The sequence below is a fragment of the Homo sapiens genome, chromosome 1 (genome assembly GCF_000001405.40).
Source record: "Homo sapiens chromosome 1, GRCh38.p14 Primary Assembly".
NCBI lineage: Eukaryota > Metazoa > Chordata > Mammalia > Primates > Hominidae > Homo > Homo sapiens.
Genome location: NC_000001.11, coordinates 14,146,855 through 14,170,290, shown reverse-complemented (window position 1 = coordinate 14,170,290; position 23,436 = coordinate 14,146,855). Strand labels below are relative to the sequence as shown.

Here is a 23,436-nt window from a genome sequence, read left to right as displayed (position 1 = left end):
GATTCAAAATCAATTTACCACCCTTTTAAACAGATAGATTTGCAAGAGAACCAGAGTTACATTTGTGAATAAAACCACCATGTGTGGCTAGAAGTCCCAGCCACGTGGTGCCTGAATTGGGCTCTGACTGAGCCTGTGGGGTTTGAGAGCTGATGAACTGCAAAGCCAGGAGGGGCCAGAGTGAGTTGTGAGGCAGGCATGTGGTTCAGATCCACACCTTGGAGGATCAATGTGGCTCCATTTTTAGAAAGCCAAGCCCATGTTCAGAAAGAAGCTTGGGGAAGGTCCAGCCTGCCACAGCCTGTGGAAGAGAGTGCGCCTCTTTAAGAGATGTGGCTGAGGGCCTGAGCTTTTGGGGTCAGATTTCCTGAGTTTGAACCCTGCCTCCATCTGCTATTAGCTGTGTCTAATAGCTGTTGGGAAGTGACTTCATCTTCTTGGGTATCACTTTTCTCTCTGTCACATGGAGACAAAGCCATATTTACTTGATAGTTATGAGTATTAACCTAAGTAATATAACTGAAGTACTCAAAACAGTGCCTGGCCCAGAGTTACTCAGTGATGACACCCAGCTATCATTATCCCGATCATTACTTATGGCCATTGCCTAATTCCCGTATGAGCCTCCAGCAGGTCTAGTTGTGACACGACCACCAGGGTGACCCTGCTGCAGGGGACAGTCCTCGGGGATGGACACCCTAGGTAGCATTGGGGGCTCACTGGGAATCAGCCCCTGCCTGTTCTCACACCCCTGTGTGTGCTCAACCTAGGACAGCACCCTCTTCACTCCACTCCAGTTGATTGGGCACCACCAAACTGTCCAGAGGTAGGAAATTGGAGCTGAGGCACCCAGTGAGGCTAATCGGCTGGACATATAACATGGAAACTCTGCTGGAATGGACAGCCACATTCTAATGGGCAGTCTGGATGTGGGAAAGACAGCTGGAGAGACAACAAGAGAAGAGCAGGGAAGGAAGGGGAGGGGAGGGGAGAGAAGAGGAGATAGAAGAGAGAGAATGACATGGTAAGGACCCAGAGGGCAATACAGAGCAGAGATAGAGCCTCTTTCTTGGCCTTGGTTTCCGTCCACCGTGAGACCCAGCCGTCTCCTGCCCTGACCCCTTGTGATAAATTCCCTTCTTCTCCTTAAGCCAGCTTCATTTGGTTTCTGTTACCTATACCGAGTAAACCCTACTTAATACGAGTCCCACAGCTGATGTCTTTCTACTACTTACGACAAATGCCTTTTATTTCTCAAGACTTCCAGAGTACAGATGAACTCTGCTATTTACTTAGGTTAATATTTTCCATGCCTTGCTCAGAGGGAGGTGATGGTAACAACATCAACACCCCCACTACTAACAGCAGCTGCTATTTATTAAGCACTTACTGAATATCAAGCACTGTGCTGAGTGGCTTGCATGCATCATTGCATTTCCTTGTCACACAACCCAGGTTTAGGTACTACTGGCTCTGTCCTTCTGTTGAGGAAACAGAGTCTCGATGGTTTCAGGAATTTGGCCACAGCCACACAACCTCGTACCTGTGAAGTGCTCTATGGCCCTCTGGTTCTCCCTGCTGGACTGAACAGAAGCTTCTAGCTGGGCTGAAGAATATGACAATTCATCGCTACACTAAATCTATGAATATACGATCCAGTTTTGTACTCAAGTCACACAGTCCTATAGCCTGTAATGGGTAGCATCATCTCCATCCACTGTTGCCATGAGGAAGCTGGCTGCTTGTCAATCCCGCCACATCCTTCAAAGTCAGCAAAAAAGGCCACCTCTAATGGAACACAGCCCTGAGCACTATCATGCAACTGAAGAGCAGAGAAGTGTCAATTTGCACAGAGATAATAAACGCTTTCACATTCAGCGTCTCCCTCTGCGCATCCCAGAACTCCGTAAAGAACTCTGCACCACTCTGCCTTCCTGCCTAGATGGGATCTAACCATGCCTTGTTCCACGGGCATTCCAAACAGCTTCACTTTTCTTTATTTGTAGGTTCCCAGCATTACCAAGGCCAACTCCACTTTGACCCAACAGAAGCTGCAAGAAAATGCGTTACAATAAAGTCGCCCTGTGAGAAGTAGATTCTGACAAAATCATGTAGCCAGCGACTTGCCTGGGCATAATACACGAATTTTCATTTGAATGTCGTTGTCCGGTAAAGACTGCAACAAGGAAATGGGCTTTGGCTCAAGGAAGAGGAAGCGGCGCCAAGGACATGTCAACCTTACAGTGACAGAAGATTGTGTGGTGTTAACTGCGGCCCTGATGGGACGTGCTTGCCATTGGAAGGAGACTAACTTGACTCCTGGAACCAATTAATTTCCAGAAAAGCTGAGAGGCCATGGCATTTGGTGGCTGAGTGCAGTTCAGACCTGACAGGCACCCAGTGGCTGGGTCATCTGGCCCCCAGTTTTGTCTGGACTTTTCCTCCTATGCCACTGTTGCAGTCTTTATCTCCACCTCAAGGCCTTTTACTTCCTTGCTCCCTGCCCTTCCTAACTTCTCTAAATTCCATTTTTCAGGTGCTTCCTTGTTTGTTTTTGTTTTTGTTTTTTTGACAGAGTTTCTCTCTTTTACGCAGGCTGGAGTGAAGTGGCATGATCTCGGCTCGCTGCAACCTCCACCCCCAGGGTGCAAGCAACTCTCCTGCCTCAGCCTCTCTAGTAGCTGGAATTGTAGGTGTCTGCCACGATGCCTGGCTAATGTTTAGATTTTTAGTAGAGATGGGGTTTCCCCATGTTGGCCAGGCTGGTCTCGAACTCCTGACCTCAGGTGATCCACGTGCCTCGTCCTCCCAGAGTACTGGGATTACAGACATGAGCCACCATGCCCTGCCTCCATCCTTGTATTTAGTCCACAGGGCTTAGCCTTGATTTTTAAATTAGACTACTGGTAACCCACGCCAGATAGAGATGCTTGTGCTCTCTTCCAGTGACCCTTCAGAGGCTCGGGATGTTGAGGGGAGGCGATTCTCTCTAGGATAAAACAAGACACAATGAAATATGGAATGGAATGCAAAATGGCATCAAATTTTAGGATAAAATGCACATTTTCAAACAAGATTCCTGCTCTGTCCCCTGACCTTGACGATAATACATGGGCATAATCCCAGAACTCCATAAAGAACTCTGCACCACTCTGCATTCCTGCCTAGATGGGCTCTAACCCAGTTAGATGGGTCCAGTTCCCCTTCCTTTCCATTAAGGAAAATCTTTTGATGACAAAGCTTGAGATTTGATCCTTGATCCCTAGAACATTTTGGCTATCTCACGCACCTTAGGACAGACTGTGGCCCTTCAGTTCTTCATACAGAGTTAGGGGATATTTGCAACTTATTCTTCACTTCCTTACTGAGTCTGTAAAAGCTAAAACCTCACTCATTGTACCTGGAGGAGAATGAGTAGTCTGAATTTTTAAAAATCTAAATTAATGACATTTGAAAAGTGATTATGTTCCAAGTATGTAAACACGGAAATAATCAAATATAAGTGAATAAAACCAGAGGAACGGCTTTTAATAGATAATATTTACAATTAGTAAGTGAATTGTACTTAAGTATAACTAAAATGCCCAAGAATGTTTAAAAAGTCAAAATTTGTTAAAATATATAGTACAAAATTTACCAAAACCCTTATACCAATAACTTTTATTTACTCATAGTAACACAATAGTACCAAATTTATAACAAAAGCAGCAATAACATCTCTTATTTCGACATTTGCTGTGTTCCAGGATTTATGCTTATTTTGTGTAATGTAATGGTCCTTGTAAAACGGTCAGATGATGGTGATCTGATCACCCGCATTTCATAGATGAGAAACTTGAGGACAAAGACATGAGGTACCCAAGGTCACACAGGCAATCAATGGCAGAACTGGCATTCAAACCAAGTTTTGCCCAACTAAGGCCCTTACACACATGAAATCACTATGACTTCATGTTATTTATTTATTTATTTATTTTTGAGACAGTCTTGCTCTGTCGCTCAGGCTGGAGTGCAGTGGCACAATCTCAGCTCACTGCAGCCTCTGCCGCCCAGGTTCCAGCAATTATCCTGCCTCAGTCTCCTGGGTAGCTGGGATTACAGGCGCACGCCACCATGCCCAGCTAATTTTTGTATTTTTAGTAGAGATGGGGTTTTGCCACGTTGGCCAGGCTGGTCTCAAATTTCTGACCTCAGGTGATCTGCCCACCTCTGCCTCCCGAAGTGCTGGGATTATAGGCGTGAATGTTAGTTTTTTTAATTTACTTTTGAGATACCGAGTGGCCCCTTTCCGGCCTTACGCATATTCCGTACTGCTGCCGGCTCTTTGTATGACCGTGAGAGAATCTGCTGGAAAGTACTCAGTACCCTAAAACAAGACAATAGTTACCATTCATGAAGCCCTTGTGTGGCAGTCACAGGACTGGACTCTATGTAGCACCAACTGTTTGCCTGATCTACATGCAGAATCTCTGTCAAAGAGTTTGCCCCTAAGACATGAAGCTATTTGAACACTGTAGTCAGAGCCAAAGATTTCAAGTAGCTGCCAAAGGAACAGTTCTTGCTCAGGGGTGAGAAGGAGGACAAGAAGAACTGCTCCAAGTCTGAGGGTGCTGATGACAACAGACTGTTCTTTTCTTCTCAGAAAGCATCTAAGGAGAAACCACCCTGAACAGCTTCCTTTGCTTTGGAGGCAGCAAAACTTCAACACCTGGTGTCAATGGGCTTTTGACATTTTATTATGCAAGACCAGATGCAGCCTTGTGGAGCTCAGGGACACAATCTGCATGCAAATGAGAATTAGAAATTCTCAGAGACCTGGGTGAGCCACGGACAGGAGGCTCACTGCCAGCAGTTCATGCTAAGGTGAAGAGCCCAAACGTGGAAAAGGAAACTGCATTTTAAATAGATCCTTGTCATTCCTGCTTTTAACAGGAAGACACGGGGCTAAGGCAGGGAGTGGAGTAGACACAGAGGGAATGGGAAACCTGGCTTTCCAGTGGGAAGGACTGGCCTGCTGCCCCATATCTGACCTATGAGAGCATGACAAAAGGATGAGGGCCCACCGAGAAATACAAGGCTCCCAATGTCCTAAAGAGGCAGGAAAGTTGAAAGCCATAGCTCACATTTTAGGACTGTCAGAAATACATAAAACTAGCTATGTACACATGACACACAATTCTGGTCCTATTCTGTGACAAATTAAAAATTGCACAGATGTCATCGAGATAGAAAATTTAAGAGGAAAAATGATCCTTTTGCCGTAATTTGACATATAATCATGCTTCAATTGAATTGCCTCATAGAAAGACCGACACCCTGGAAAAGAGGATCCGCAACTTTCCATGTCAGTATTTTATTTTAGCCACAGCTACTTCTCCCCCAAATTACAATGAATATGCTCAGAGGTGAAATCATTCCCAACAATGAGTCCGCCTCCTTTAAGAGGAAACTTGGCCGGGCACGGTGGCTCATGCCTGTAATCCCAGCACTTTGGGAGGCCGAGGCAGGCGGATCACCTGAGGTTAGGATTTGGGACCAGCCTGACCAACATGGAGAAACCCCATCTGTACTAAAAGTACAAAATGAGCCAGGCGTGGTGGTGCATGCCTATAATCCTGGCTACTTCGGAGGCTGAGGCAGGAGAATCGCTTGAACCCAGGGAGCGGAGGTTGTGGTGAGCCGAGATCGTGCCATTGCACTCCAGTCTGGGCAACAAGAGCAAAACTCCATCTCAAAAAAAAAAAAAAAAAAAAAAAGAGGAAACTCACATTGCAGAAATGGAGTATCACTTTTGAGGCTAGATTTACAAACACACACACACACACACACACACACAAAGCCATAGTGTTTTCTCTCTTGAAATGCTCACTCTGAGGGATGTTGGTCACCATGTCATAAGGATATTCAAGCAGGCCATATGAAGAACTGAGACCTTGTGCCAACAGTCAGCATGAACCCACCAGCCATGTGAATGTGCCATCTAAAGGCATATCTTCTAGCCTCAGACTAGCCCTCAGATGGATGTGCCCAGGGTGACAACTTGACTGTAATCACCTGAGAAACCCTAAGCTTGCATGATTTGGCCAGGCCACTCTTCCAACTCACAGAAACTAAAAGATAATAAAGGTTATTGCTGTTTTAACCCAAAGGCATTGGAGGTAATTTATGAGCAGTAATAGATAACAAATACAGATTTTCATACCTGGAAGTAGAGTTCTGCCATAACAAAAAACACTAAAAATTTGGGTGGCTTTTCAACCGAGCAGTGGGCAGAAGCTGGAGGACGTCAGAGAAGAGTATCAGCAAAATCCTAAAGTACCCTCAGAAGATGTCCAGCAGAATCCTGTTGGTCCTCACAGAAGCTGCTGGTGAGGGCATAAGGAAAACCGAGGAAAATGTGACTGTAAAGTAGAGGACAGAAGGTTCTTGCTACGTAACGGCAGAATTTAACAATACTATTGCCTGTGGTGATGCAGAAAGTAGAAAATATATCGAATAAGCTGGATGATCTGTTAAAGTAGGCAGCTAGGCAGACACGTGCAGGGCAGGAGAGGGCCTCCACGCAGGAATGTCAGGCAACCATCAGGTGATGGTGATGTGGTTGTTAAACTCTCTCACTAAAATAATAATTGGTCACAGCTGGCACTAGGGAACGGCAGTCTCCCAATACATAGAAAACACCTGAAGCTGGTGATCAGCAGTTTTCAAATAAGATCTCAGGAGCTGGGCAAGTAGGCTGAAGCATGCGCACTAAGAAGCAAAATGGTGGGGTTTAACTGGTCTATGACCTTCCTCTAGGAACACTTGACCGGTAAGGGAAAGATATGCACAATGTCAGTAAACACACTGCACATACAGCCCCTCCCAAGTGCTGGCAGGCCACTGTGCATGTGGACAGCTCACCCCAGGAAAAAAATCAAGAGAGAAGAAACACAAACTTCAGAACTATGCCAATGTATGAAAACCTCAAGTCAAAGGTCAGATGGGGCACTTGGGTCTCTCAAGTCACCCGCTTGGCCCTCTTCCAAGTGTACTTTAGTTCCTTTCACTCCCACTCTAAAACTTTTTAATAAACTTTCACTCCTGCTCTAAAATTTGCCTTGATCTCTCACTCTGCCTTATGCCCCTCAGATAAATTCTTTCCTCTGAGGAGGGAAGAATCAAGTTGCTGCAGACCCATACAGATTCACTGCTGCTAACAGATCTAGATAAGATTTGCAGCCAGAATGTTGAAGATACCACCTAGTTTCTTCTTGCTACTAATAATAAAATGGAAGAGAAGAGAGATAAGCTAAAGGAAGGACCACTAAAAAAAAAAGCCAAGATTTACTGGTTTTAGAAATTTTATTCTCTGCAGATGGCAAACAGGACTAAAATTAGGAAATGGTTCCTAGGCAAAAAGTAGATTCAGAGCTTTCTTGGAAAAACACTGTATAAAGATAAAGCCGGCCAAGCGTGGTGGCTCACGCCTGTAATCCCAGCACTTTGGGAGGCTGAGGCAGGCGGATCCCAAGGTCAGGAGAATGAGACCATCCTGGCTAACACGGTGAAACCACGTCTCTACTAAAAATACAAAAAATTAGCCAGCCATGGTGGTGGATGCCTGTAGTCCCAGCTATTTGGGAGGCTGAGGCAGGAGAATGGCGTGAACCCTGGAGGTGGAGCTTGCAGTGAGCCCAGACCGTGCCACTGCACTCCAGCCTGGGCAACAGAGTGAGACTCTGTCTCAAAAAAAAAAAAAAAGAAAAAAGAAAAGAAAAGATAAAACCAAGAGTGTAGCTATAAAATCTTTTGCTGTGGCCTTAGAAATATTTAAGGTGGTGCCTCAAAGAACAATACAGTAAAATTGGGGTTTCTAAGAAAGTTAATGTCATCCCTCAGTAGTTTCAGCAAAAATTCAGGGTAGAAAGAGGATTATCTCAGAGATATTTGGGAAGTGGTTTTCTCTAATGGAGTATACTCCAATAATATTTATAGTATACTCACTATGTTTTTAAGAGAACTATATTGACAGATATGCTATCAATCGGTCTGAAAGAGATAGAAAGAAAAGTGGTCTATGGATCCCCAGAGTTCTACCAGCAAAAAGCAGATTAAGAAAACTTTGCAGCTACAAACATGATCTTTTATATAAAAGGAACAGTGACTGAGAGGGTGTAACCAAGAGCTCAAAGGGTGGATCCAAAAACCATGAGGAATTATTCTTGATCCTTGAGTCCTAATTAAGGAACTGTTGACCCATGCCTGAGGTGTTTTAGAACTTGTATGGTCCAGCAATTTCTGTGTGGTTTTCATTTTCCCATTTTTGAACAAGTGTAACTATAGCAGTTATGCTTGTTGCACCACTGTTCGTGTGAGAAGGAGGTAACTTCTCTCTTTAGATCACAGGTCTTTAGATTGAGAAAAATAGTACCCACAAAACAACATTTAAGGAATTACACCTGGATCTGATTTACATGATGAGATTCCAGACTTTGAGTTTGTGATAACTGGATGAGATTTTGGGGGGTTTGGAGATGGAAGGAGTATATTTTACATTTGAATCGTTAAGGGAAGAAAATGGACAATTATAGCTAGATTCCAAAATAGAACCCAATGATTCTCACCTCCTGGTATTCACACCCTTGGATAGTCCTCTCCTACACTAGATAGGGCCAACCTGTGTAACCAACAAGATATTGTGGAAATGTCCATTTGACGTCTGGGATAGGCCATAAAAGACCCTGTGGCTCTCATCTTGCTCTCTCTCCAATCACTCACTCTGAAGGAAGTCAACTGAAGTTGTGAAGACTTCGGCAACTTTGTAAAAAGGTCCACATGGTAAGGCATTGAGGTATCTTACTAAATAGTAGCACAAACTCACCAGCCATGTGGGTGCACCATCTTGGAAGGAGAACCTTCGGTTGCAGTCAAGCTTCTCAATGATTCCAGTTAAGCCAGGCAACACTGTGACTGCATCTTCATGAGAGACAGGGAGCCAGAACCAACTAGGTAAGCCACTCCACAATTCCTGCCCCATAGACATTGTGAGATAAGGATCTGTTATTGTTTTAAGCTGCTCTGTTTGGATGTAATTTCTTATACAGCAATAGATAGCTAATATGGTGAAGATTTGAATTCTGTTATAGTCCACCACTTTGATTTTGCTCCAATAACCTGACAAGACTCCATCTTCTATGCAACTCTATTCTTAAAAACTTGTGTTTAAGATACATTTAATTCTGTCTGTGCTTTCTTGGTCTTCTTCCAGAGTAAAGAGAGACGGTTCCACCCATCAGGGAAATAGTTTCAGCACTTCTGTGCTTGAAGGATAAGTCATAACACAACCATTAAGATTCCATCAAACCACAAAGATAAGTCCTCTTATCAGCAACGAATTATTTCCACTGATAGAACTGGGTAAAGATGTAACCTTTTCCTTGTCATCAGATGCAATCTTCTAAAACATAGCTTCAAAAAATAGTAGCAGTTGAACAGTCACCCACCTACCAAGGATAATATAGGCATACATCCTACATGAGAATAGAGAGATAAAATAAATGGGAGGCTTTTAGTGAACCCCCAAATTCACTTACTTCTAGCTCAGCAAGAACTGCAAGGCAGGGGGCAGAACAAGATGGTGCAATAGAAGACTCCACCGATTCTTGCCCCACCATAAGGACACCAAGTTAACAACTATCCACACACAAAAAAAGCACCTTCATAAGAGCCAAAACTCAGGTGAGCACTCAGAGTAGCTGGCTTTAACTTCATATCACTGAAAGAGGTGCTAAAGAGGTAGGAAAAACAGTCTTAAATTGTTGACATCACTCCTCTCCCAAGCCCCCTCCTTCCAGCCCCTCACCCTCCTCCCTGCAGCAGTGGCAGCAAGGTGTGGAAAGCATCTTAGTGTGCTGGAGAGAGGGAGATTGCAGCATTTATGAGGCATTGAACTCAGTGCTGCCCTTTTATAACAGAAAATAAAACAAAGCCAAGCTCAGCTGATGCCTGCCCACTGAGGGAACATTAAAACCAGCCTAGCCAGAAGGGAATTGCCTATGTCAGTGGTCTGAACTTGAGTTCCTGAAAGCCTTGCTATTGCAGGCTAAAGTGCTGTGGGGCCTTAAATAAACCTGAAAGGCAGTCTAGGCCAAAAGGACTGCAACTCCTAGCCAAGTCCTAGTGCTGAACTGGGCCCAGAGACAGTGGACAGAAGGTCACATGACAGCTAAAAGAGTGCAGGCATCATCCATTTCTTAACCCCAGGCTGCACAGCTCATGGCTCCAAAACAGACCCCTTCCCTCTCCTTGAGGAGAGGAAAGGGAAGAGTCTTGCATCTTGGATACCAGCTCAGCCACAGCAAATAAGGTACCAGTCAGAGTCATAAGACCCCCTTTCCAGGCCCTAGTTCCTGGATGACATTTCCAGACACACCCTAGGCCAGAAGGGAACCTGCTGCTCTGAAAAGAAAGACTCATCTGGAAGGAGTCCTGGAAGGATTCATCACCTGCTAACTGAAGAGCCCAGCAGTGATACTCAAGTACTACATCAAGGACCTTGGGTCAGACCCTGAGACTTGCTGGTTTCAGGTAAGACTCAACACATTCCCAGCTGTGGTGGCAATGGGGCAAGACTCCTTTCACTTGAGAAAAGCAGAGGAAAAAGCTAAGGGGACTTGGTCTTGCACCTTAGGTACCTGCTTGGCCACTGAGGGGTAGAGCACCAAGTAGGCTCTTGGTGACCCAGTTCCAGAACTTGGCTTTTGGACCGCATTTCTGGGCCTGCCCTGGACCAGAGGGGAGCCCACTGCCCTAAAAGTGAGTCCCAGGCTAGGCAGCATTCACCACAAGCTGATGAAAGAGTCCTTGAGCCTTAAGAGAACATCAGCGGTAGTCTAGCAGTACTATGCATGGACCTGTGGTGATGGTAGCCACAGAATAAGGCTCTTCTGCCCTTGGAAAGGGGAGAGAAGAGTGGGAAGGACTGTGTCTTGTGGTTCAAGTGCCAGATCAGCTACAGTACAATAGAATACCAGATAGACTTCTAAGGTTTTTGACTGTCATCCTTGGCTCCCAGACAGCACTTCTGGACATACCTGGAGCCTGGGGGAACTCATCACCTTGAAGGGAAGGACAATGCCTGGTTGGCTTTGCTATCTTCAGATTGTAGAGTCCCAGGGCCTTGAGCAAACATAAGCCATAGGCAGAGAGTGGTTACAGCAGGCCTTGAGTGAGATCCAGTGCTTTGTTGGCTTCAGGTCTGACCCAGCACAATCTTAGTGGTGGTGGCCACAGGAGTACTTGTGTCACACCACCCCCAGCTCCCGGTGGCTCAGAATAGAGAAAGAGACTCAATTCACTGGGGAGAAAGTAAGGGAAGAAAAAAAGAATGTCTCTCTGGTAATGCAAGAATTATTTCAGATATTACCCAAGACCATAAAGGCAGTACCTCTATGAGTCCATAAGAGCCACAGCATTACTAGGCTTGGGGTGACCCATAAAGCAGAGACAGCTTAGATCATAACACCTAAGTCATTTGGAGTATCTGGAAAGCCTTCCCAAGAAGGACGGGTAAAAACAAGCCCAGACTGAGAGTACTGCAATAATGTATAAATACCTAACTCTTCAATGCCCAGACATTGAAAAGCATCTATAAGCAACAACAGCATCCAGGAAAATATGATCTCACCAAATGAACCATCAGAAACCAATCCTGAAGAAACAGATATGTGACCTTTCAGACAGAGAATTCAAAATAGCTTTGTTGAGGAAACTCAAAGAAATTCAAGATAACACAGAGAAGGAATTCAGAGTTCTATCAAATAAATATAACAAAGAGATTGAAATAATTCTTAAAAAATCAAGCAGAAATTTTGGAGCTGAATAATGCAATTGGCATACTGAAAAATGTATCAGAGTCTTTTAACAGCAGAATTGATCAAGCAGAAAAAAGGATTAGGGAGCTTCAAGACAGGCTATTTGAAAATACACTGACAGAGGAAACAAAAGAAAAAAGAATAAAAAACAATGAAGCACACCTATAAGATCTAGAAAATAGCCCCAAAAGAGCAAATGTAAGTTATTGGCCTTAAAGAGGAGGTAGAGAAAGAGATAGGAGTAGAAAGTTTATTTAAAGGGATAATAACAGAGAACTTCCAAAACCTACGGAAAGATATCAATATCCAAGTACAAGAAGGTTATAGAATACCAAGAAGACTCAACCTGAAGAAGATTACCTGATATGGTTTGGCTCTATGTCCCCATCCAAATCTCATCTCAAACTGTAATCCCCGTGTGTCAAGGGAGTGACCTGGTGGGAGGTGATTGGCTCATGAGGGTGGTTTTCCCCATGCTGTTCTCATGATAGTGAGTGAGTTCTCATGAGATCTGATGGTTTTATAAGGGCTCTTTCCCCTTCGCTTTCTCTTCTTTCTTGCATCCTGCCATGTAAGACATGCCTTGCTTCCCTTTCACCTTCCTCCATGATTGTAAGCTTCCTGAGGCCCCCCCAGCATGCAGAAGTGTGAGTCAATTAAACCTCTTTTGTTTATAAATTACCTAGTCTTGAGTAGTATCTTTGTAGCAGTGGGAAAATGGACTAATACACTACCTCAAGGAATTTAATAATCAATCTCCAATAGGACAAGGATAAAGAAAGCCTCCTAAAATTAGCCAGAGAAAAGAAATAAATAACATACAATGGGGCCCCAATACCTCTGGCAGCAGACTTTTCAGTGGAAACCTTACAGGCCAGGAGAGAGTGGCAAGACATATTTAAAGCGCTGAAGGAAAAAACTTTTACCCTAGAATAGTATATCCAGCAAAAATATCCTTCAAACATGAAAGAGAAATAAAGACTTTCTCAGACAAACAAAAGCTGGGGGATTTCATAAACACCAGACCTGTCCTACAAGAAATGTTAAAGAGAGTACTTCAATCAGAAAGTAGGTCGGCTTCATCTTAAGGTCCAAAGCTCACTGCTAACAGTAAGTACCCAGAAAAACACAGAGTATTATAACACTGTAACTGTGATATGTAAATTACTGTTACCTTAATTAGAAAGACTAAATAATGAAACAATCAAAAATAATAACTGCAACAACTTTTCAAGACATAGACAGTACAATAAGATATAAATAGAAACCATAAAAAGTTAAAAAGTGAAGGGATGAAGTTAAAGCATAGAGTTCTTATTAGCTGTATTTTTGCTTGTTTGTTTATGCAAATGGTGCTGTTATCAGCTTAAAATAATGAGTTATAAGATAGTACTTGCAAGTCTCATGGTAACCTCAAATCAAAAAACTACAAGGATACATGAAAAATAAAAAGCAAAAAATGAAATCATATCACCAAAGAAACATCACCTTCACCAAAAAAAGACAAGGAAAAAAAAAAAAAAAACAAAAGACCACAAAACAACCAGAAAACAAATTTTTAAATGGCAGGAGTAAATCCTTACTTGTCAATAATAGCATGGAATGTAAATGGACTAAACTCTCCAATGAAAAGAAATAGAGTGGCTGAATGGCCTAAAAAACAAGACCCAATGATTTGTTGCCTTCAAGATACATGCTTCACCTATGAAGACACACATAGGCTGAAAATAAAGGAACGGAAAGAGATATTTCATGCCGACGGAAACCAAAAAAGAGTCGGAGTTACTATACTCATATCAGACAAAATAGATTTCAAGACAAAAACTATAAGAAGAGACAAAGAATGTCACTATGTAATGATAAATGGGTTATTTCAACAAGAGGATATAACAATTTTAAATATATGCACCTAACACTGGAGGACCCAGATATATAAAGCAAATATTATGAGAGCTAAAGAGAGAGATAGACTCCAATACAATAATAGCTGGAGACTTCTACACCCCACTTTCAGCATTAGAAACATCTTCCAGACAGAAAATCAACAAAGAAACATTGGATTTAACCTCCACTATAGACCAAATGGGCTTCATGGATATTTACAGAGCATCTCATGCAACAGCCGCAGAATATTCATTCTTTTCCTCAGCACATGAATCACTCTCAAGAATAGGCCATATGTTAGGTCACAAAACAAATCTTAAAACATTCAAAAAATTGAAATAATATCAAGCATCTTCTCTGACCACAATGGAATAAAACTAGAAATCAATAACAAGAGGAGTTTTGGAAACTATACGAATACATGGAAATTAAATAATATGGTCCTGAATGACCAATGTGTCAATGAAGAAATTAAGAAGAAAATTAAAAAATTTCTTGCAATAAATGATAATAGAAACACAATATATCAGAACCTATGGGACACAGTAAAAGTAGTACTAAGAGGGAAGTTTATAAGCTGTAAGTGCCAACATCAAAAGAGAAGAAAAATATCTGGGCTCATGCCTGTAATCCCAGCACTTTAGGAGGCCAAGGTGAGTGGATCACATGAGGCCAGGAGTTCGAGATCAGCTTGGCCAACATGGTGAAACCCCATCTCTACTAAAAATACAAAAATTAACTGGACATGGTGGTGTATATCTGTAATCCCAGATACTCAGGAGGCTGAGACATGAGAATCACTTGTATCTGGGAGGCAGAGGTTGTAGTGAGCCAAGATGGTGCCACTGCACTCCAGCCTGGGTAACAGAGCAAGACCCTGTCTCAAAAAAAGAAGAAGAAGAAGAAGAAGAAGAAAAATACCAAATAAACTTAACAGTGCATCTTAAAGAACTGGAAAAGGAAGAGCAAACCAAACCCCAAATTAGTCTAAGAAAATAAATAATAAACATCAGAAGAGAAATAAATGAAATTGAAATAAAGAGAACAATGTGAAAGATCAATGAACCAAAAAGTTTGTTTTTTGAAAAGATAAGCAAAATTGACAAATCATTAGCAAGACTAAGAAAAAAAAGAGAGAAGATCCAAATAAATAAATGCAGAGATTAAAAAGGAGATGTTACAACTGATACCACAAAATTAAAGGATCATTAGTGACTACTTTCAGCAACTATATGCCAATAAATTGGAAAATCTAGAAGACATGGACAAATTCCTAGACACATACAACCTACCAAGATTGAACCATGATGAAACCCAAAACCTGAGCAGACCAATAACAAGTAATGAGATCAAAGCTGTAATAAAAATTCTCCCAGTAAAGAAAAGCCCAGACTTGATGACTTCACTGCTGAATTCTATCAAACATTTAAAGAATTAATAGCAATCATACTCCAACTATTCGAAAAACCTAGAGGAAGAGGGAATACTTCCAAACTCATTATTTGAGGCCAGTATCACCTCGATGTTCCAAAACCAGGCAAAGACACATCAGAAAAAGGAAGGAAGGAAGGAAGGAAGGAAGGAAGGAAGGAAGGAAGAAAAACTACAAGCCAATCTCTGATGAATATTGATGCAAAAATCCTCAATAAAATACTAGCAAGCCAAATTCAACAATATATGAAAAAGATCATTCATCCTGACCAAGTGGAATATATCTTTGGGATGCAAGGATGGTTCAACAAATGCAAATTAATCAATATGATGCATAATGTCACCAGAATGAAGGACAAAAACCATATAATTATTTCAATGGATGCTGAAAAAGCATTTGATAAAATTAACATCCCTTCATGATAAAAACCCTCCAAAAACTGGGGATAGAAGGAACATACCTCAACATAATTAAAGCCATGTACAACAGACTCACAGCTAGTATCACACTTAATGGGGAAAAGCAGAAAGCCTTTCCCCTAAGATCTGAAGCATAACAAGGATGCCCACTTTCATCACTGTTACTCAACATAGTACTGGAAATTCTAGTTAGAGCAATCAGACAAGAAAGAAATAAAGGGCATTCAAATGGGAAAGGAAGAAGCCAAATTATCTTTGTTTGTAGATGATATGATCTTATATTGGGAAAAAACTAAAGACTCCACAAAAAAAACCATTAGAATTGATAAACAAATTCAGTAAAGCTGCAGGATACAAAATAAACATACAAAATCAGTAGCATTTCTGTATGCCTACAGTGAACAATCTGAAAAAGAATTTTTTTTAAAAATCCCATTTATAATAGCAACAAAGAACATTAAATACCTAGGAATTAACTTAAAAAGTGAAATATCTCTGGAAAGAAAACTACAGAACACTGACGAAAGAAATTGAAGAGGATCAAAACAATGGAAAGATATTTCATGTTCATGGATTGGAAGAATCGATATTATTAAAATCCCCACACTACTCACAGCAATCTACAGGTCAATGCAATCCCTATCAGAATACTAATGGCATTCTTCACATAAGTAGAAAAAAAATCCTAAAATTTATATGTAACCACAAAAGACCCAGAATGGCCAAAACTATTATAAGCAAAAAGAACAAAACTGGAGGAATAACATTACCTGACTTTAAATTATACTACAGACCTACAGTAACCAAAATGGTATGGTCCTGGCATAAAAACAGACCTGTAGACCAGTGGAACAGAATAGAGAACCCAGAAACAAATCCAAAGACGTCCAGCAAACTCATTTTTTTTTTTTTTTTTTTTTTTGAGACAGAGTTTTGCTCTTATTGCCCAGGCTGGAGTGCAATGGCACAATCTCAGCTCACTGCAACCTCCGCCTCCCAGGTTCAAGCAATTCTCCCGTCTCAGCCTTCCCAAGTAGCTGGGATTACAGGCATGCACCACCATGCCTGGCTAATTTTTTTGTATTTTTAGTAGAGACAGGGTTTCTCCATGTTGGTCAGGCTGGTCTCCAACTCCTGACCTCAGGTGATCCGCCTGCCTCAGCCTCCCAAAGTGCTGGGATTACAGGCGTGAGCCACTGCACCTGGCAGCAAACTCAGTTTTGACAAAGGTGCCAATAACATACACTGAGAAAAAGACATAAATGAAGCTGGGAAAGTTGGATATCCAAATGCGAAAGAATGAAACTAGATCCCTATCTCTCAACATATACGAAAATGGAATCAAAATGATTAAAGACTTAAATCTAAACCTCATACTGTGAAACTACTAAAAGAAAACATTGGGGGAAACTCTCCAGAGCATTGATCTGGGCAAAAATTTCTTGAATGATACCCCACAAGCATAGGCAGCCAAAGCAAATATGGACATATGTGAACACATCAAATTAAAAAGCTTCTGCACGGCAAAGGAAACAATTAACAAAGTGACAAGACAACTCCCAAATATTGGGAGACGATATTTACAAACTACCCATCTGACAAGGGATTCATAATTAGATTTTATAAGAAGTTCAAACAACTCTGTAGGAAAAATATCTAATAATCTGATTTTTAAGTGGGCGAAAGATCTAAATAGACATTTCTCAATTAAAAAAACTTACCAATGGCAAACAGGTATATGAAAAGATGCTCAACATTCTTGATCATCAGATAAATGCAAATCAAAACTACAATGAGATATCATCTCACTCCAGTTAAAATGGCTTTTATCCAAAAGTCCAGCAATAACAAATGCTGGCAAGGATATGAAGAAAAGGGAACCCTTGTACATTATTGATGGGAATATAAATTAGTACAACCACTATGGGGAATAGTTTGGAGTTTTCTCAAAAAACTAAAATTAGAGCTACTATACAATCCAGCAATCCCACTCCTAGGTACATACCCAAAAGGAAGGAAATCTCTATGTTAAAGAGATATCTGCACTACTGTGTTTGTTGGAGCCATCTTCACAATAGCCAAAATTTGGAAGCAACTTAAGTGTCCATCAATAGATGAGTGGATAAAGAAAATTTGGTACTTATATACAATGGAGTACGAGTTAGCCATAAAAAGAATGAGATCCTGTCATTTGCAAGAACTTGGATGGAACTGGATGGAAATCATTATGCTAAATAAAGTAAGCCAGGCACAGAAAGACAAACATTGCATGTTCTCACTTATTTGTAATATCTAAAAATCAAAAGAGTTGAACTCATGGAGGTAAAGAGTAGAAGGATGGTTCCCAGAGGCTGAGAAGGGTAGTTGGAGGGTCAGGGGGAGGTACGGATGCTTAATGAGTCCAAAAAGAAAAAATGGCTTGAAAGAATGAATAAGACCTACTGTTTGCTAGCACAACAGGATGACTATAGTCAAATATAATTTAATTGTATATTTAACAATAATTCAAAGAGTATAATTGAATTGTTTGTAACACAAAGGATAAATGTCTGAGATGATGGATGCCCCATTTACCCATATATGGTTATTGTGCATTACATGCCTGTATCAAAATATCTCACATACCCCATAAATATATCCACCTCCTACGTACCCACAAAAATTAAAATTAAAATATTTTTTAAAAGTACTGCAAGGCAAAAACTTTATTAGAGAACTTAAACAAAAAAACAGGAAATAAATGAATTAAATTCTCTTTTCTTGTTATTTTATCATCCTTCCATTTTTTTTCCTTTCCACAAGTAATTACATAATGTCATACCACAACCATAATTCCTTCTTGCCCTCCAAAATAAAATTTACTACTGGGGAGCTCTTCCACTGCTCTGCTGGGGCAGCTGGTGTGATAGGAATGGTTACAGGTGTGATGAGGGATGGCCAAAGGCCCAGGAAGCTTACCTCATTCTTCCAATAACCTTGTCTATTTATCACAAACTGCTATAAAAATATGCCCACTTTCTCTGGGTGCTAAGAGTTTGGGAACACTGGTCCTTAGATATCACTGTTGATTTGTTCACTAGACTAGAAATTCCATGATGAGAGGAATCATGTTTTGCCTGCTGATTTGTTTTATCCGTTTCCAGAGTGCCTAGCATGAGAGCTGGAGACACAGTAAATAGTAGTTCAACCAATTCCTTAACTTAATTACAACATCAATATGGGAAATATAGCCAATTCCTGACAGGCAGTCACGAAAATATCAAAGTGATCATTTTCATTGCTTCTAAGCAGTGAAACATATTGCTTGCTCTCAGAAAATGAATTTTAAGAGGAAAACAGCTAAGAAATGGCCTTTCTGGGGCACTAAATTTTATAGATTATGTCCTGAAAAAAAAATGCATGGTTCAAAACTACCAGTTTAGTGTCTTTTTAACAGTACAGTTGAGACCATCAAAATTATGTTACATTGGTCACTCATATGCCCATCTTTGTCTTTTTTTTCTACAATCTGGAAACAGAATTAGTAAACACCCTATGAAACTCTAGGATGCCTTATAAATGATGTTGTAGATGAAGACGGTATAGCATGTGAAACTTTTATAAGACTGCATTAAAAGTGTGACCTCAATAAGTAGTCAAACTGAATGGAGACTACACTGTTCACATAGTTTTATAATGTAGGTACATTCACATATATAATTGAGAATATACACCCACACGTGTGTGTGTGTGTGTATGACAATGTTAGCAGGGTTTATCTCTACTTGATGTTATTACCTATGACTTTTCTTTTTTTCTGTGTATTTTCCAAATTTCCCACACTGAAATATACATTAGTTATTCAATTAGATTACAATTATTTAAAAATAAAAATGGGGCTGATACCAGTAATTATTTGGAAGAGTGTAGTAAGCATGTCTATATTTGATGATATCATTTTGGTTATCTCCAAGTGAGGTCAAAAGCCTGTTGTTGCATTTGGGTGGTTTGAGGATCAGCAATGGGAATGTGAAATCGTCTCTTTCCAGGCATGGATTACAACAATGGGTTCATGCATGGCTCCTAGTTGATACCATCTTTTCCCAGGCCTAGTTCAATTAACATACAAATGGATACACCTCTTGTATCACATGCAAGATGTAAGAACTGTTTGTCAGGTGATAAAGCAAAGGAAACCATAAACACACAGCTTTGAAAGTACAGATTTCGATGGCACAATGAAGTTGGAAGTTCTGGGGGCAGATGGTTCTTTGTTGCAGGCCAAGTGAAAGGGTGTAGACTTGGTTCACACAGAGACAACTCTTACTGTTTCTGGAACCCTTCTACCATAAAGGGGTATTAAATTGCTCCTGAGATACTAAGCTGAGAAGCAAAGATTTCAGGCTGTATAAAGTTACCAGATAGTTGGCACCCATTTAAGCTAAGCTATTCATGGTAGTGAATTCTGTGCAAACCATTAACCAACAGCAAACTGGAGTGGTGATAACATGGACATCACTCTAGAGAAAAAGTCAACAGGCTTGTTGTGTAACCTTTGGCAAGTCCTTCGTCTCTGGGAACCTCTATTTCTTTAGCTGAAAAATGGGGGTAATAATGCTTCCAGGAAACAGGTCATCTGTAGGGTGAGACAATGCTTGTGAAAGTGCTCTGAGAAACTATAAAGTCTGGGAAAATATAAAATTCCCTGCTGTTGCGTTATGACTAGTATGACTGTCGGTATCACCATTTTCTGAATCTGCAGAGAAATTTTTAGGCCAGCAGTTTTCAGAATATATAATATTTTCATCATTAGAGAGATCGGTTTTCCTCTGTTGAGTCTGTGAGTTGTTCCATATGCAAATCACACAAAAATATGCATCTTGTAAAACAATACAGTTCCATTCCCTGTTATAATCTAGCCTTTAAAATTAGGCTTTTAAAAAAATCATGGTATTTGACTAACACGATGGACTCATACTTATTTATATTTTTGCTCTCCTCTTTAAAATGATGGTAGGGAAATAAAATGAGCATAAACCCACAGTCACCACAAGGAGGCTGTCAGCAGCTCAGAGATTCCAGCAAATTTCCATGAGATATAAATCAGATGACGTAGTGGTGACCGATGAAAACGCCCAGGGAAGTGTGGCAGGGAAGAGGCCCAGGCAATGGTGGCCAAACGAGATGGGAGGAACTGAGCTCAAGCAAGAGCCCCGTGTTCCCAGAACTCCGGAAAGACTTGGGACTGGGCAAGATCATGTCCAGAAAGAGAGTGAACTGTGCACCTAAAAGAAGGAGATTAATTGAAAGGTTGTGGCCAGGCATGGTGGCTCACGCCTGTAATCCCAGCACTTTGGGAGGCCGAGGCAGGTGGATCACGAGGTCAGGAGATCGAGACCATCCTGGCTAATGCTATGAAACCTCATCTCTACCAAAAAAAAAAATACAAAAAATTAGCTGGGCGTGGTGGCACACGCCTGTAGTCCCAGCTACTTGGGAGGCTGAGGCAGGAGAATCACTTAAACCCAGGAGGCGGAGGTTGCAAGGAGCCAAGATCATGCCACTGCACTCCAGCCTGGGCAACAGAGCAAGACTCTGTCAAAAAAAAAAAAAAAAAGGAAAGAAAGAAAGGAAGGAAGGAAGGAAGGAAGGAAGGAAGGCAGGAAGGCAGGCAGGCAGGCAGGCAGGCTGTATGTGGAAGCACTGGCTCCGATCTCCACCTTCAACTACAGAATTCAACTACAGAACACCCTACAGCTAGTCTTTACCCGACAAGACCAAAATATAAAAGCCAAAACAAAATCCAATCAAGCAAAAAGTGGAGTGTTCTTTGTCAAACACATACAATGAACTCTCTGAAGAAAATAAAGACAGCTGATACGGATGTTGACATCCTAGAGCAAAAATGTAGAAATCCTGGCATTTTGGGGGAGTCAAGCATAATGGTTGGTGCCACCTGTTCACCATCAAGCAAAGCCTGCCATCCACATGTACATAATTCCCCATCTGCTTTCGCATCAACTCATTCTTGAGTATAAACAGACCACCAAGGATTTCCTGGCATTGAAGGAAAGTCTCAAACACAAAAGAAACATAAACAAAACAAAACAAAAATATGGCTTTGGAAAAACCATGAGTTTAGGAACAGGAAATAACATGTAAACAAAATAAAGATTCCAGACTACATTTTATCCATAAAACAAGAAAGGGGTACTGTAGCAATGGAACAGTCAGAGAATAAGAGAAAACTCTTAGAAATTGAATCTACTATTACCAAAATAAAAAATAAAAAATGTAATATTGAGGCTAGTTGTTAAATTTGAGAGTATCATCCGGCAAGTAAAACAAAAAGTTCAGAAAAAGATGAAGGTGAAAACAAGCAACAGAGAAAATATGCCAAAAGTCACAGAGAAAGAAGAGAACAGGGATGAGAGGAGAAGCAGGGGATGAAAATAAAGAATAATTAAAGTTTCTATTAGAAATGAAAATCATAGCACCTCAAGTTTGTGTTTTGTTTTGTTTTGAGACAGGGTCTTGCTTTGTTGCCCAGGCTGGAGTGCAGTGGCATGATGACGGCTCACTGCAGCCTCAACCTCCTGGGCTCAAGTGATCTGCTGGGACCACAGGTGCCCGCCACCACACCCGGCTAATTTTTAAATTTTTTTGTAGAGATAGGGTCTCACTATGTTGGCCAGGCTGATCTCAAACTCCTGGGCTCAAGTGATCCTCCCACCTCGGCCTCCTAAAGTGCTGGGATTACAGGACTAAGCCACCACACCTGGTGCCTACGTTTAAAGGGACTATTACAATAAATAGCAATAATAGTAGTCATAGCTAAAGGTCATTAAAAACCTCTTATGTACCAGGCACCACTTTAGAAAGGTTTCTACGTAGTGACCTTTAGTTTTTTTGTTGTTTTTTTTTTTTGAGATGGAGTCTTGCTCTGTCGCCAGGCTGGAGTGCAGTGGCGCGATCTCGGCTCACTGCAACCTCTGCCTCCCAGGTTCAAGTGGTTCTCCTGCCTCAGCCTGCCGAGTAGCTGGGACTACAGGTGCGTGCCGCCATGCCCAGCTAATTTTTATATATTTTTTTAGTAGAGATGGGGTTTCACCATGTTGGCCAGGATGGTCTTGATCTCTTGACCTTGTAATCCACTCGCCTTGGCCTCCCAAAGTGCTGGGATTACAGGCATGAGCCACCACGCCCAGCCCTGCAGTGACGTTTTAATCCTCCCAATAAATCTAAGAGGTAGCTTCTATTATCAACACTGTTTCATTAATTGTATTAATGCAGCTGAGAAAATGGAGACAACACTGTTACTGGTTAAAACACTTAACCCAAGCTAGTAAATGAGACAGCTAGGGTTTAAACTCAGCCAAGTAGGGTCCATGGCCTGCATTCTTCAACATTATACAGTTGACCCTTGAACAACACGAGGGTTAGCAGCACAAAACCCCCTTGCAGTGGAAAATCTGAATTGTTTCGAATACATGGAAACTTAACTACTAATAACTTACTGTTGAACAGAATGTTATCATTTATTAATGATAACATAAATATCTATTAACACATATTTTGTGTTATGTATATTGTGCATTGTATCCTTTACAATAAAGTAAGCTGAAGAAAAGAAAGTGTTATTAAGAAAATCAAAAGGAAAAGAAAATATATTTACTATTCATTAAATGGAAATGGGTCATCATAAAGGTCTTTATCCTTGCTGTCTTCATATTGAGTAGGCTGAGAATGAGAAAGAAGGGGAGAGGTTGGTCTCACTGTCTTGGGGGTGACAGAAGTGGAAGAAGCGGACCCACACAGTTCCAACCTATGTTGTTCAAGGATCAACCATATCTCCCATAACATCCTC

At 41.2% G+C, this 23,436-nt stretch overlaps 1 protein-coding gene across 6 annotated transcripts in view, besides 1 other annotated feature; it reads right to left on the bottom strand.

The window, feature by feature from the left end:
* The window catches only part of KAZN (kazrin, periplakin interacting protein), a 1,225,220-nt gene that overhangs the window by 947,753 nt on the left and 254,031 nt on the right, over positions 1 to 23,436 (bottom strand). The gene's annotated exons all lie outside the window — the stretch shown is intronic.
* Positions 2,548 to 3,049: an enhancer, noted in NCBI's record as "H3K27ac hESC enhancer chr1:14493737-14494238 (GRCh37/hg19 assembly coordinates)". NCBI's record gives its function as "activates a minimal SCP1, AML or CMV promoter by ChIP-STARR-seq in primed H9 embryonic stem cells {active_cell/tissue: H9 hESC(primed)}" and the evidence as "EXISTENCE:reporter gene assay evidence [ECO:0000049][PMID:30033119]".